This window comes from Homo sapiens, chromosome 11 (genome assembly GCF_000001405.40).
Source record: "Homo sapiens chromosome 11, GRCh38.p14 Primary Assembly".
In the NCBI taxonomy this organism is placed as follows: Eukaryota; Metazoa; Chordata; class Mammalia; order Primates; family Hominidae; genus Homo; species Homo sapiens.
Window position 1 is genome coordinate 133,430,833 of NC_000011.10, and position 13,176 is coordinate 133,444,008.

The window sequence follows — 13,176 nt, forward strand, 5'->3', positions numbered from 1 at the left end:
TATTATCAGAAGTTGTCAACCTCTAAAATTAGTTCTTATACTCAATATTGGCAAAGTTTGGTTGAGTGTGTGATCACAGTGTTAATTAGGTAAAATCTTACCAGAAAGCAGATTGGCTTTATTAGTAACTTTAGAAGTTCATGGGTTTCGAACGTTAGTTTCACTTCTAAAAATTTTCATTAAGAATATGATATAAACACAGAGGCAAAAAAGCATTTATCAAGTACCACATCTGATGCTTAAAATTAACACAAACTAAGTATCTTCATTGCAAAATAAGAATAATAACTATCTCATGCAGTTCTTAACATTAAATAAATATTTATAAAGTATTTAGTATAGTACCTTGACATATAATTAAATGTTATTTATTTAAAATCATTCGCTAAATCCTAGTTAAACGTCATTCGACAATCATTTGTTGAGTAGGTAAATAAAATAGTCACATTGTGTCAATTGAGAAAAGATGCAAAACTATATGTATTGTATGAATCTCAATTTATATATATAATTATCTGTCTTTTGAGAGAGACACAGCTATTTGTTTTACAAAATATTACTATTAAGTCATTTGAGCCTAACTACTTACTACAATAAATACCATATGTATTGTATGAATCTCAATGTTTTTTGTTTGTTTGTTTGTTTTCGACGCGGAGTTTTGCTCTTGTTGCCCAGGCTGGAGGGCAATAGCGTGATCTCAGCTCACCGCAACCTCCGCCTCCTGGGTTCAAGAGATTCTCCTCCATCAGCCTCCTGAGTAGCTGGGATTACAGGCATGTGCCACCATGCCCAGCTAATTTTGTATTTTTAGTAGAGACGGGGTTTCTCCATGTTGGTCAGGCTGGTCTGGAACTCTCCACCTCAGGTGATCCGCCAGCCTCAGCCTCCTAAAGTGCTGGGATTACAGGTGTGAACCACTGCGCCCCGCCGAATCTCAATTTATTTTATATATATATATAAAATATTTATATATAATATATATAATAAATATACATATATTTGAGAGTCATACAGTATATATGGTTTTGCAACTTACTTTTTTCAAAAGTATATATTTCATTTGACATATACAGGTAAAAAATTGGAAGAAAATATATCAAAATACGTACGGTTCTCTCTGGATAAGAGGAATCGTTATTACTACTAAGAAATCAGTTCTCAGAGAACCAAATACTGCATGTTCTCACTTCTAAGCAGGAGCTAAATATTGAGTACATACGGACATAAAGAAGGGGACAGTAGACACCAGGGCCTACTTGAAGGTGCTTTGTGACAGGAGGGTGAGGATTGAAAAACCACCTGCAAGGTACTATGCTCATTACCTGAATGTAAAATAATGTGAACACCAAACCACCGCAACACGCAATTTACCCACGTAACACTCTGAACCTAAAATAAAAGTTGGAAAGGAAAAAAAGAGAAATCAGTTCTTAGTCTGTCTTTACTCTTAAGGTCATTCTATTTTTGCTGTTCTAGAGTTTTGGTAAAATATGTCTAGATATGTATTTTACTGTATCTATTTTTTTAAAAAAAACACACTTTTTTAGAAATGGGGACTTACTGTGTTAATCGGATCTTACTGCAGGCTGGAGTGCAGTAGTGTGATCAAAGCTCACTGTGGCCTCAAACTTCTGGGCTCAAGTGATCCTCCTGCCTTTGCCTCCCAAGTAGCTGGGATTATAGGCACGAGCCACCATGCCCAGTTTTTTGTATTTATTCTGCTTGTAATTTGTTGTTCTTTCTGAATCTATGAATTTTGTGTTAAATCTGGAAAATTGTCTTGCCATGTCTTTTCCCTTTCTTCTTCTGGAACTTCAATTAGGCATATGTTAGACCTACATGGGAGTCTCTTTCAGTTGTCTTTGACATTTTCCATTTTTTTGTTTCTTTATTTTACATCCATGGTTCTCAAACTACAGGTGAAGGCATACTGGGAAACCAGAGTGAATTCACAGGAACACTGTGGGAATGTTGCATTTTTGAGAGAGACACAGCTGTTCGTTATATACCATGCAAAATACTAAAATTAAGTTGTTTGAGCCTAACTACTTAATAAAAGAAATGTTGGGAATTTCTTTTGCTTTGGGGATACTATAAAAAAATCATTCAGGCACTAACCCATGAATGGTGCCATGAACCAAGGAAGTTTATGAATCTCTATTCTAGATTTTTGGTATTTATTTTCTCAAGATTATCTTCCAGTCATGAATTCTTTCCACAGCTGGAACTAATCTGTTTTGTATCCATCTATTGAAATTTTACTCTCAATTATTACGTTTCATATTTCTACGAAGTTTTATTTGGTTACTTAAAAATATTACTAGGAGAATGGCGTGAACCCGGGAGGCGGAGCTTGCAGTGAGCCGAGATCCCGCCACTGCACTCCAGCCTGGGCGACAGAGCGAGACTCCGTCTCAAAAAAAAAAAAAAAAAAATATTACTGATGGATTTTAATGTTCTCTTAATCCTAAATTATATTCTGACAGCCATTTTTATTTCTTTGCGCATAATTACACACATATATTTTATATTCTGCTTTTGAAAAATTGCCCCAGTTGTAGTTTTCAAAGTTCCTTTTCTACACTATACTATGAGCACTGACTTTTCTTCATGGTGGTCTGTTTCCTCATGTACGTGATGAGCTACATGTTTTACAAAATTGTGGAAATGTTAGCGGTGCCTGCGATTAAAGTGCATTCCTTCAGTGAGGATTTGCCTTGTTTTTACCAAGGATTTGAAGTCTTACCAACCTATGTCCAAGCTTACGACATGGGAGCCACACAGGAGTCGTGAATTAACACTCATGGGAGAGCAGTCTTCCAGTTAAGGATCCCAAGAAGCCTCTCTTGCCCCTCCATCCAGAGACATCTTCAACCCAGCCAGGTAGTCCCACTCTCTCCTTCTGCAAGGCACATCTTCCCCCTTAACCCACTTCAGGGTTTTGCCTTTAGGGTCTGTGGCTCCAGGATAAACTCTGTAATCTTCCCGGCCATTTTACCAGCTCCCAGGCTTTAGCTCATATCCACACAGAATCCCTCAAACTTGCACTCTAGGGAATGAGGCATCAGAAGCCATCCTAGGGCAGAACCGGCTTCACCATAGCTTATCTTTCTGAAGTAATATTGTTTTGTTGCTTTGTGCTTCTTGAACTTTCCCTTGCTTTCTTGCCAGATCACTATGCATTTTAAAATACTTTAAATATATTTTTCATAGTATTTCTAAACACACTGGGATTATTTCTGTGTATGCCTCATCTTACCATATTTCCAAAAAAAGGAAAGCATTTTTTTGTATTTTTACATTGAGGAGAAATTACCTTTATAGTTAGGTGGGATTACACTATTCACTTTCCTCATGAAAGCTCCCTGCCTCCTCACTCACGTCTTCGCTTATTCTGTTTCCTCTACTCAAAATGTCTATGATGTCTATGTCTGTGACATATTTCTAAGTCTTACCTATCCTCAAAGTCCGGAAAAGTGCTGCCTCCTCCCTGTAGTCTTCCTCAAACTCCCCTGCAGCTTCTGAAGTTAAGTTTACCTGTATCTTTCCTTTGAGTATTTGTCACTTTCTCCCTCATATTGAATATATATCAGACCTTGCTCATTTGTGTATAGAAGTTAGCACTTCAACTATTTACAAAGGCTTCAAATTTCATCATGGATATTATATTTTAATTTTTGTGAGGCCCAAATTTGAATTCAATACTCCATGGCTGAAGTTCAGAAGTGACTTCTATAGCTTGTGAGAGCAGCTGGGAAGGCCCAGGGCACCCATTACCAAGTTTATCTGCTTAGCTCCATACACAGGCTAAAAAGGTGGTCAAACTTTGGTTCTTCCAATGGGAGGGGGAAAAAGTTTCTAGTAAGAAAATTGGCTTCTACTGTTGGTAATATAAATGAAGAGAAAAATAAGTAGATCCAATCAAGTGATGGCTTTGGCCAGAAAAAAAAAATTATATATATGTATATATATATATATATATATATATACACACACATATATATATTTAATATATATTCAATATAATATATATTATTTCATATAATACATACTTTTTAAAATAACATTTAAAAGCAAAGATTCAGATTCTGCAGTAGTGCAGACATGAAAGGTCCACCATACATTCTGTACAGAAACTGGAAAAAGCAATTTATGAAGCTATTTTAGCAAGTTCTCTGGATAGTGCAAAAATTGTTCAAGTGAGAGATAGCCTAGCATAGAGTTTATGTTAATGGCCAGATTTATTTTAATAGCTTTATAAATTACTTGAGTTCTGTATTTATAGAATCATTAAGGGTCCAAAGGGGTCACTTATATTTTTCAGTTATATTTTATTGCATTTTATGTAGCAAATTATATGCTATAGTAAGATTCATGAATATGGGGATTGATGAAGGTCTCAGGGTATATCGCTTGCAAATGTCAAGGATTTTATGAATGTTTATTATGTCCTGAAAGATAAAATTCACGTCTAGCTTAACTTTCTCCCTGACTTCACCTAGGAGTGCTTTTCCCATAGTAGGCCCACATTTGTTGAAATGAGTAGGCATTTCATTTGTTGAAAGAAGAAAAAAAAGAAAGCTGTTCTCATCTTTATGTTGCTTTTCCACATTTTGGCATTTCTCCTGGGGTGAGTTTACTCAGGTATTGTCAGAGGAGATAACTGAGGAATATAGAGTCTTTCTTCAGTTTCCATTTGTGGAATTGTAACAAATAAATAACATCCTCATTCATTATTAATAGGCTTTCTAGAGATCAAAAAAGTGGATTCCAATTTCCAATGAATAATTCTACTGGCAATTATTTGCAGTTTAAATAAAAGGAAAGGCATTTTATGTGGACGATACAAGCAGTGGATAATTAAAATACAGTAACTGATTTCCATAAATAATGAAGATGGGAAATTATCTCTGACATTATCTCTGACTTTGTTTGCAAAACTCAATTTCCAATTCATGCCCCGTGAAGAGGATTAGCCATTTCCACTCTAGCCCCACCTCTCTAGAGGGGACAAGAGCACATTACGCATATTGCACAGTTTTGCTCTGGCAAAGGTGTAAGAGGGATCTAATTTCAGCTGCTCACATTTGAAAACAAAGAACTGAGCCTGTATAGTTCCTTTAAAAATTTTTAATTAAGAGCTATAAATAATGATTTCCAAAATACACATGTGCATTCTCAAACACACACTCCACGTGCAACCACAAACAAACATATACACAAAATGTAGTCACAAAATACTCAATTGAGGATTGTGTAGTAGATGAGTTTTAAAACTAGCAATAAATTGTTCATTCTCAAATTTAAAAAAAAATGCTAACATACCTACTGCAATGAGAACAACAACAAAATACTATTTTGCTTATATTGTCCCTTTCAAAAAAAGAAGAAAAATAATAACAAAAACCTAGGAACTGTTTGTTACATAAATGAATGCAAAAAGACTGTTAGTTTTGGTTCCTCCATTTGGTGTATTTTTGACTTGGCAAAATGAAAGATGGAATATAGTGAGGCAACGGGTAAGGAACCGGGTGGCCATCTTTTGTGATCGGTCCCCTCATCCCAAGGCTTTTATATTGATAGAATTCCCCTATTTTGACTTTAGTCAAAATCCACATATTGCATGAGTTAACAGTTTCACTCCGCTCATCTTTCACTTAAAATTTTCTCAGGATCTGGAGGTTCTGGGCTGTTAAGCTCACAAATGTGATCTCAGAGTCCAGCATCCCACATTCAAGTTTCCATATTCACATTTGTGAGTGCCAGGACGTACTATGTCCTGTATCAAGGACTAACTGTAAAAATGAAAGAGCATACAATTAGGGAAATACGGGTTTAGGGCCCAGTTCCACTGCTTACTAGCTGTGTGACCTTGAATAGTTACTAAAATTGTCAGTTTCTTCAAGCTGTAAAGTGAGGATAATAATAGAACCGAACTCGCATGGTTCTTCTGAGGAGCAAGGGTAATACTTTATGTGAAAACCCCCGCGTAACTGCAAAGACCTAAACCTTTCGGTCCTTAGGACTCAGGGGTATGATGGAATGCTTTTCTATTTTGATTCATTTATACACACTCATGGCTACATTTTTGTTCTTGTTTTATGTCAGATGGGTAATGTGCCGACGTCATAACCAGTTTCCAGGGTAGCACATCTCACACATCCGCATGAGCCCAGCCATCACCCTTATGAACCACAGAAGCACCTGCTTCATTTCTTTTCATCTAAGCCTAATGATTGTTTAAGTTTTTAGCACATCTATCTAATTTATACGACATCTTATTTCTCTGACAATAAACCAACATTTATTTGTTGTTAACTGATGATGTTGCCTAATGATCAGGACCCAGATTGTAGTTTGTTATGTATCAGGCAAGCCGAATGCTGTCATTAGATAGACACACAGAAGGGTGGAGCTTGTTCTGCCTGCCACAGACGGAAGCCATTATCAATAACCTAATAATATCAATAGGGGCTAAGATGAGATGGCGGGCAGAAGCTATTTCCTCCACTTTCTCTCTGGGCATCACCTTTTTGGCTCTTCCTGGGGAGTCAAGATGTGCTGCAGTCCACAGTGTAAACGCTTCAGCATCATGTGCACTTGGGAAATTGCAGGTCCTTTCATGGAGAAATCCCACAGAAGACAATTAGGGTCTGGTACACATTTCCTTCAGAGACCTCTCACACCTCAGCCAACCGACTCTTCCCTTCCGCTTTGAATGCAGGATAACCAGAATGGATCACTTAATATTTGCTAAGCACGCCATGCACTTCAAAACCTCTGCAACCCCGCTCACCTCTCCCCTCTCAACCCCGCTCACCTCTCCCCTCTCAACCCCGCTCACCTCTCCCCTCTCAACCCCGCTCACCTCTCCCCTCTCAACCCCGCTCACCTCTCCCCTCTCATTTTAAAAATTTCCAAAGAGAAAATAACAGATTACTTACAATAATACAGAGATTAAATTTACATCTTATTTTTTAACAGCAAAACTGAATGCTACCAGAAAATGATCCGAGATTTTTATTTTAAACCTATACTCCACACCCTGGCAAACTTGCATTCAAGTATGAGGACAAAATGAAGAGTTTTGAACCTGCAAAGACTTGGAAATTTTGCCATCCATAAATACTTCAGGGAAAAAAATATATATAAGGAAAATCCCATAAAATAAAAAACAAAACCAAGTAAAAAGATACAAGAAAGGGTAGTAATCAAATAAAACACTAAAAGTTATAGTCAAGTTTAAATAACTGTTGATGCTTGATGTTTTAAAAATGTATAAAATAACCATCTGGAACTAAAATCCCAGATGTTCTCAACCATGGAGTCTGCCAGAGAGAGCGGTGAGAAGTGTAAGAATACTAAATTTTTTATTCTTATGTAAGAGGAGGATATAGATGTTATAGCTGTCGACAGAATTGTTAAAATTGTTAAAAATATAAGTGTAACCACTAGAAGAATATAAATAGACATATAAATTTCAAATCACAAGGGAGGGAATATAATGGAACAAAATATAAAATCAATTCAGCCACAGGCAAGATCCAAACAAATAATGAAAAAACAAACAAACAAGCAAACAAAACCAGTAAAATTAAAGTATATCAGCAATCACAGAAAAAAGTTCATTTTAAACTCTGAAAAATAAAATGCAGTTACATGTGGAGTACAAGAGGGCTCCTGAAATTAAAAGAAACAGAGGGAATAACAAAGGATGGAAAAATGAATGCTAGGTATGACACAATAAGAAATAGATATTTGATCTTTGCACCTTATTCCCCATAATTTCTGATAGGAGTGATGAGTATGTCTTTGGTTTTAGTGAGGTGACTCTTTGAGGGCCCTAGGTCACTTCAGGAGGGGGGCTGCTTGCCAGGAAGACCAAAGCATAATTAGCCGGTTGCAACTTTAAGCCCCATCCCTGACCTCTGGGGAGGGGAAAAGAGCTGGAGATGAAGTTGATCCCCAACGGTCAACGATTTAATACATCAGGCCTATGTAATGAAACCTTCATGAAAGCCCCTAAGTATTAATAGGTTCAGAGTGCTCCCAGGTTGGTGAACACATCAAGGGGCTGGGAGGGGTGAACCCGGAGAGGGCATGGAGGCTCCATGCCCCCACACACCACACCCCATGCCTTGCCCTACGAATCCCTTCCATTTACTTGTTCCTGAGTTCTATTCTGTATAATCAGCTGATAATAATAAGTAAAGAAATTTCCTGAGGTCTGTGGGCCTTTCTAACAAATTATGGAACCTGAGAAGAGTCGCAGGAACCCTGATTTGTGGCAGGTTGGTCAGAAGTATGGTGGAAACCTGGGACTTGTGATTGGCACCCGAAGTGGGGCAGTCTTGTGGGACTGAGCCCTTAACCTGCAGGTCCTATGCTAGCCCCAGGCAGCGTCACAATTGAGTTGAAGCACTGGACTCCCTGTTGGTGTCCAGAGAGTAAAAGATGTTTTTTTTTTTTTTTTAAAGCCAACCTCAAGCAAAGAAAAATAAAAACAAACAAACCAAACTCCACCATGCCACACCTAGATGAGTTTATAGGAAAAATTCCGTCTGTTTCAGGGAATAGGAAATGCTTATGAGGCCAACCTAACTCTTTTTTGTTTTTTTGTTTTTCTTTGTTTTTGTTTTTTTTCTTTTTTGAGATGGAGTCTCACTCTGTCGCCCAGGCTGGAGTGCAGTGGCTCCATCTCTGCTCACTGCAAGCTCCGCCTCCCAGGTTCACGTCATTCTCCTGCCTCAGCCTCCCGAGTGGCTGGGACTACAGGTGCCCGCCACCATGCCCGGCTAATTTTTTGTATTTTTAGTAGAGACGGGGTTTCACCGTTTTAGCCAGGATGGTCTCGATCTCCTGACTTCGTGATCCACCCGCCTTGGCCTCCCAAAGTGCTGGGATTGCAGGTGTGAGCCACCGAGCCCGGCCCAACCTAAGTCTTATAATAAAACCAAACTAAAGGAGCACTTTTCTTTCTCTAAGATTCCTAAATAAAATATGAGCAAGTCCAATCCAGCTACGAATTAAAAGAATATTATATCATGACAAGCACATTTAATTCAGGAATACCAAAATGGCTGAATATCCAGAACGCCATTAATGTAACTAGATATGATAATAGATTAAAAGAGAAATCCAATATAATAATCTTAATAAAAGTTGAAAAGCATTTGGTAAAATTTAATGACTATTCCTGAGTAAACCAACAAACTTTTTAGCCAGCTAGAAACAGATGGAAAGTCTTTAATTTTATAAAAGCTTTAAGCAGAAACCAGGCCGGGCATAGTGGCTCACACCTGTAATCTCAGCACTTTGGGAGGCCAAGGCAGGTGGATTACCTGAGGTCAGGAGTTTGAGACCAGCCTGACTAACTAATGGCGAAACCCCATCTCTAGTTTAAAAATACAAAAATTAACCAGGCATGGTGGTGCATGCCTGTAATCCCAGCTACTTGGGAGGCTGAGGCAGGAGAATTGCTTGAACCCAGGAGGCATAGGTTGCGGTGAGCCAAGATCGCGCCATTGCACTCCAGCCTGGGCAACGAGAGCAAAACTCCATCTCAAAAAAAAAAAAAAAGAAAGAAAGAAATGATTATTATCAACATTTGGCTGGGTGTGGTGGCTCACGCCTGTAATCCCAGCACTTTGGGAGGCCGAGGTGGGTGGATCAACTGAGGTCAAGAGTTCAAGACCAGACTGACCAACATGGTGAAACCCCGTCTCTACTAAAAATGCAAAAATTAGCTGGGCATGGTGGCAGGTGCCTGTAATCCCAGCTAACTGGGAAGCTGAGGCAGGAGAATCTCTTGAACCCAGGAGGCAGAGGTTGCAATGAGCCAAGACCTCACCATGGCACTCCAGCCTGGCAACAAGAACGAAACTCCCTCTCAGGGAAAAAAAAAAAAAAACAGAAACCTACAGCAATTATATATATATATATATATCTGTGTGTGTGTGTGTGTGTGAGTGTGTATGTGTATATATATATATATAAATCATATATATATATGATTTCTATTAGAGCTTGGAGCAAGAAAAAACAAAAGACCACTTTCCATATTACACTACAGGCTTAGCCAATAAAAATGTCAAAGTAAATATATAAATAATATAAACATCACAAAGAAACAGGAAATTGTCATAATTCTCTGCAGTATGATTGCCTACATCTAAAAGAATTTGAGGGTTTTACAGATAAATTATTAGAATAAGACACTATTAAAATAAGAAAGCTCTGTAAGGAGACAGACACATCCTCATGTATAAAAATCAATTATTATCTTATATGTTAGCACAAATTATAAACTAGAATTTGTAATTAAAAATAAATCCAGGTCTATGCCTCTCTTTCTGTTACACACAGACAGTAAAGTGCATTTGGAGAAGGAAAAAAAGCCCAAGAATGACATGAAAATTTTGAAAAAGAAAAAAATGGTAGGTAATTTCTCTATCATTTTATTATCACATGAAAAAAAAGCCTATTGTAATAAAAACAATTGGACTATTGACACAAAAAGGAAATACATGGAACCGAATTTGAGAATTAAGAAACAGATCCATGAATTCATGGGCATTTATTTTTGTTAAGGTATAGGATATAACTTCAAGTAAATATGGACAGGATATACTATTTATATGACTGTTTCATAGAAAACTAAACTACATAGATCTTCTATCTCACACTACATGCAAACCATACATTTTATAATTTCAAAAGGATTAGAGAGCTAAATATTTAATAATAAATAAACAACCCTTTATGATTATTGTTGTGTTTTTGTTTGTTTGTTTTAAAAGTCTTGTTTGGGGAAGTTTCCTAAGTAGACTTTGAAAGAATAAGTCATAGTGGAGAAAGTGGACAGATTTGATGAAAGAAGAATTATAAACTTCCTTAACTTAAAAATAAAAATGTATATGCAACATTAAAAAACACGCAAGTATCTTTGAAAGATATTTTCAACATACAAATAAGACAAAAGTTCTATATCATATATATGTGTATAAAGAACTTCCAAATTATTTTTTTAATTGTTAAAGAACTCAGCAGAACAGAAATTATGTTAAAAGGTAATTCAAATACAAATTTCAGGTGGTCAATAAATACATAAAAATGTATGTAGCTCTACTAAAATTAATAAAATGCTAATAATAATAATACCTAATGTTTATTGAGTGCTTGCTACTGGCCAGCCACTGTTTTAGGGTTCACTTGTGCTAATTTTGAAGCCTTACAACCAAGCCTTATAGTGAGTAGTTTTCCTACTGCAAAGAAAGGAGACGTTGCCTAGAGAACCAAAATAACTTGCCCACAGATACTCAGCTAGTTGCAGTGGAGCTTGGGTTTAAACTGAATTTGACTAGGTCCTAAACCAGTTCACTACCCTGCCATGCTTTTATTGTTTTTGTTTTTTCAGTCATCAAATTGGCACAAATCTTTTAAAAAGGTCAATAATAATTCAGTGTTAGTAAGGGTGAGACAAACTTTTTATTCTCAAATATTCTTGGTGGCATTATAAATTGATAGTCTTTTTAGTGCAATATGGTGGCCTCTTTAAAAACAGTTTAAAGCATACTACTTGACCCAAGAATTCCACTTCCAGGAAAATAACCATTAAGAAATAGTTAACATATGCAAAGACATTTACAAAAGAATGCTTATGGCACCATTATTTGCAAGAGTGGAATCTCAGAATCAACATACATGTCAGTAAATAGGCTTCCAGTGAAACAATTTGGGGAAAATCCATGCAATAAAACAGCATTCAATCTTTAATAAAAAGGAAGTAGGTCCATTCTTACTAAACTAATATGAACTGATATGGAACAGTTGCAAAACATAGTGACCTACTGTTCCCTGAAAAACGATTGCAAAAGCAAACATATTTAAACGTGTGTGTGTGTGTGTGTGTGTGTGTGTGTGTGTGTGTGTCTTTTTTGAGGGAAGAAGGTAAGAAGAAAGAAGAAAAAAGCTTATGAGTTTATGTGTAATCATTTAGAAGAGACTAGGAAGACACACAGCAAACTGTTTTCACTATTACCAATGGGTCTTGCTTGACAGAGAAATAGAAGTGCGTTTGGTTGGAAAGCAGAGAATGGGAAAATATGGACTTAAACATGATACTTAATAGCAATAGCTATTCTTTGAATCTTTTTCAAGAAGATATTCATGTAATATTTGTGAAATGAAAACAATAATAATAAAAGAAAGATACAAAATAAAAGTGATGAAATGAAAAACTGAACCCACAGAAAACGCAGACAATCTAAACAAGAACATCAGACAGCACATTATTGTAATAGTTGCATACCATCACAGCAATTCAGGGTCATGGCAGGGATACCCATCTGGGAAATAAACGTGATCAACCACTCTAAAGATTCAGGGTGCTTGAAAGAGCCCCAACCAATCTTTTATAGGAAAGCTTCACAGCACCTTTCTGTTTTAGGAAAGTGCTAGGTTCCACATTGGGTGTTTTTATGTATCATGCCAAGTCATTTCACTGAGATCTGCTGGCGATTCAGCCTGGAGCTTTCAGATTCCTTCTCATTTTACCAACATCAAGCTGCCTCCTTAACACAAGGCTGATCCTGAAGTGATTCCACCAACAGATGCAGAGATGGCTTTGGCAGAAATAACTGTAGGCTCCTATTCTCTCTTCCTTGTTGAAACATGCGCAGCATTGCTCATTAATCAGACTCACAACACTTCATCCTGGCTGGAAATAATAGGCCCCATTGTACATTAGTAACCAGGTTACTTCACCCCTTCATTGCTGCAGTTAACACCTATTATTTCCTCCAGGCACTAATATTTTGAAACGGGATCATTTAGCTCTGAAGTATGTTAAGCGTTGTGTGTGCAGCACTTCTTTTGTCAGAAGGAAGAATTCAAGGTGGCTGAGCCTCTGTCCTAGCTATTGAGCTACCTGTAAAAAAGTCAGTATTGACATCCACAGCACACACCCTGTGTTTAGAAACAGGGCTTTAGGGACTGGATACCTTGGCTGACTCCTGTAATCCCAGAACATTGGGAGGCAAAGGTGGGAGAGTCACTTGAGGCCAGGAGTTCAAGACCAATCTGGGCAACATAGACTCTCTGTCTCCAAACACACAAAAAAACTAAATAGAAAGGGAGCCTTGGGTGTCTTATTAATATGCTGTTACTGAGCAG

At 37.2% G+C, this 13,176-nt stretch overlaps 1 protein-coding gene and 1 non-coding gene across 4 annotated transcripts in view; both read right to left on the reverse strand.

Annotated features, from left to right (window-relative positions):
* The window catches only part of OPCML (opioid binding protein/cell adhesion molecule like), a 1,117,521-nt gene that overhangs the window by 1,015,852 nt on the left and 88,493 nt on the right, over positions 1–13,176 (reverse strand). The window lies entirely within an intron of this gene.
* On the reverse strand, positions 6,106–6,207 carry LOC124902835 (small nucleolar RNA U13). The gene has a single exon (XR_007063020.1). It is a non-coding gene; the product is annotated as a small nucleolar RNA U13 (small nucleolar RNA).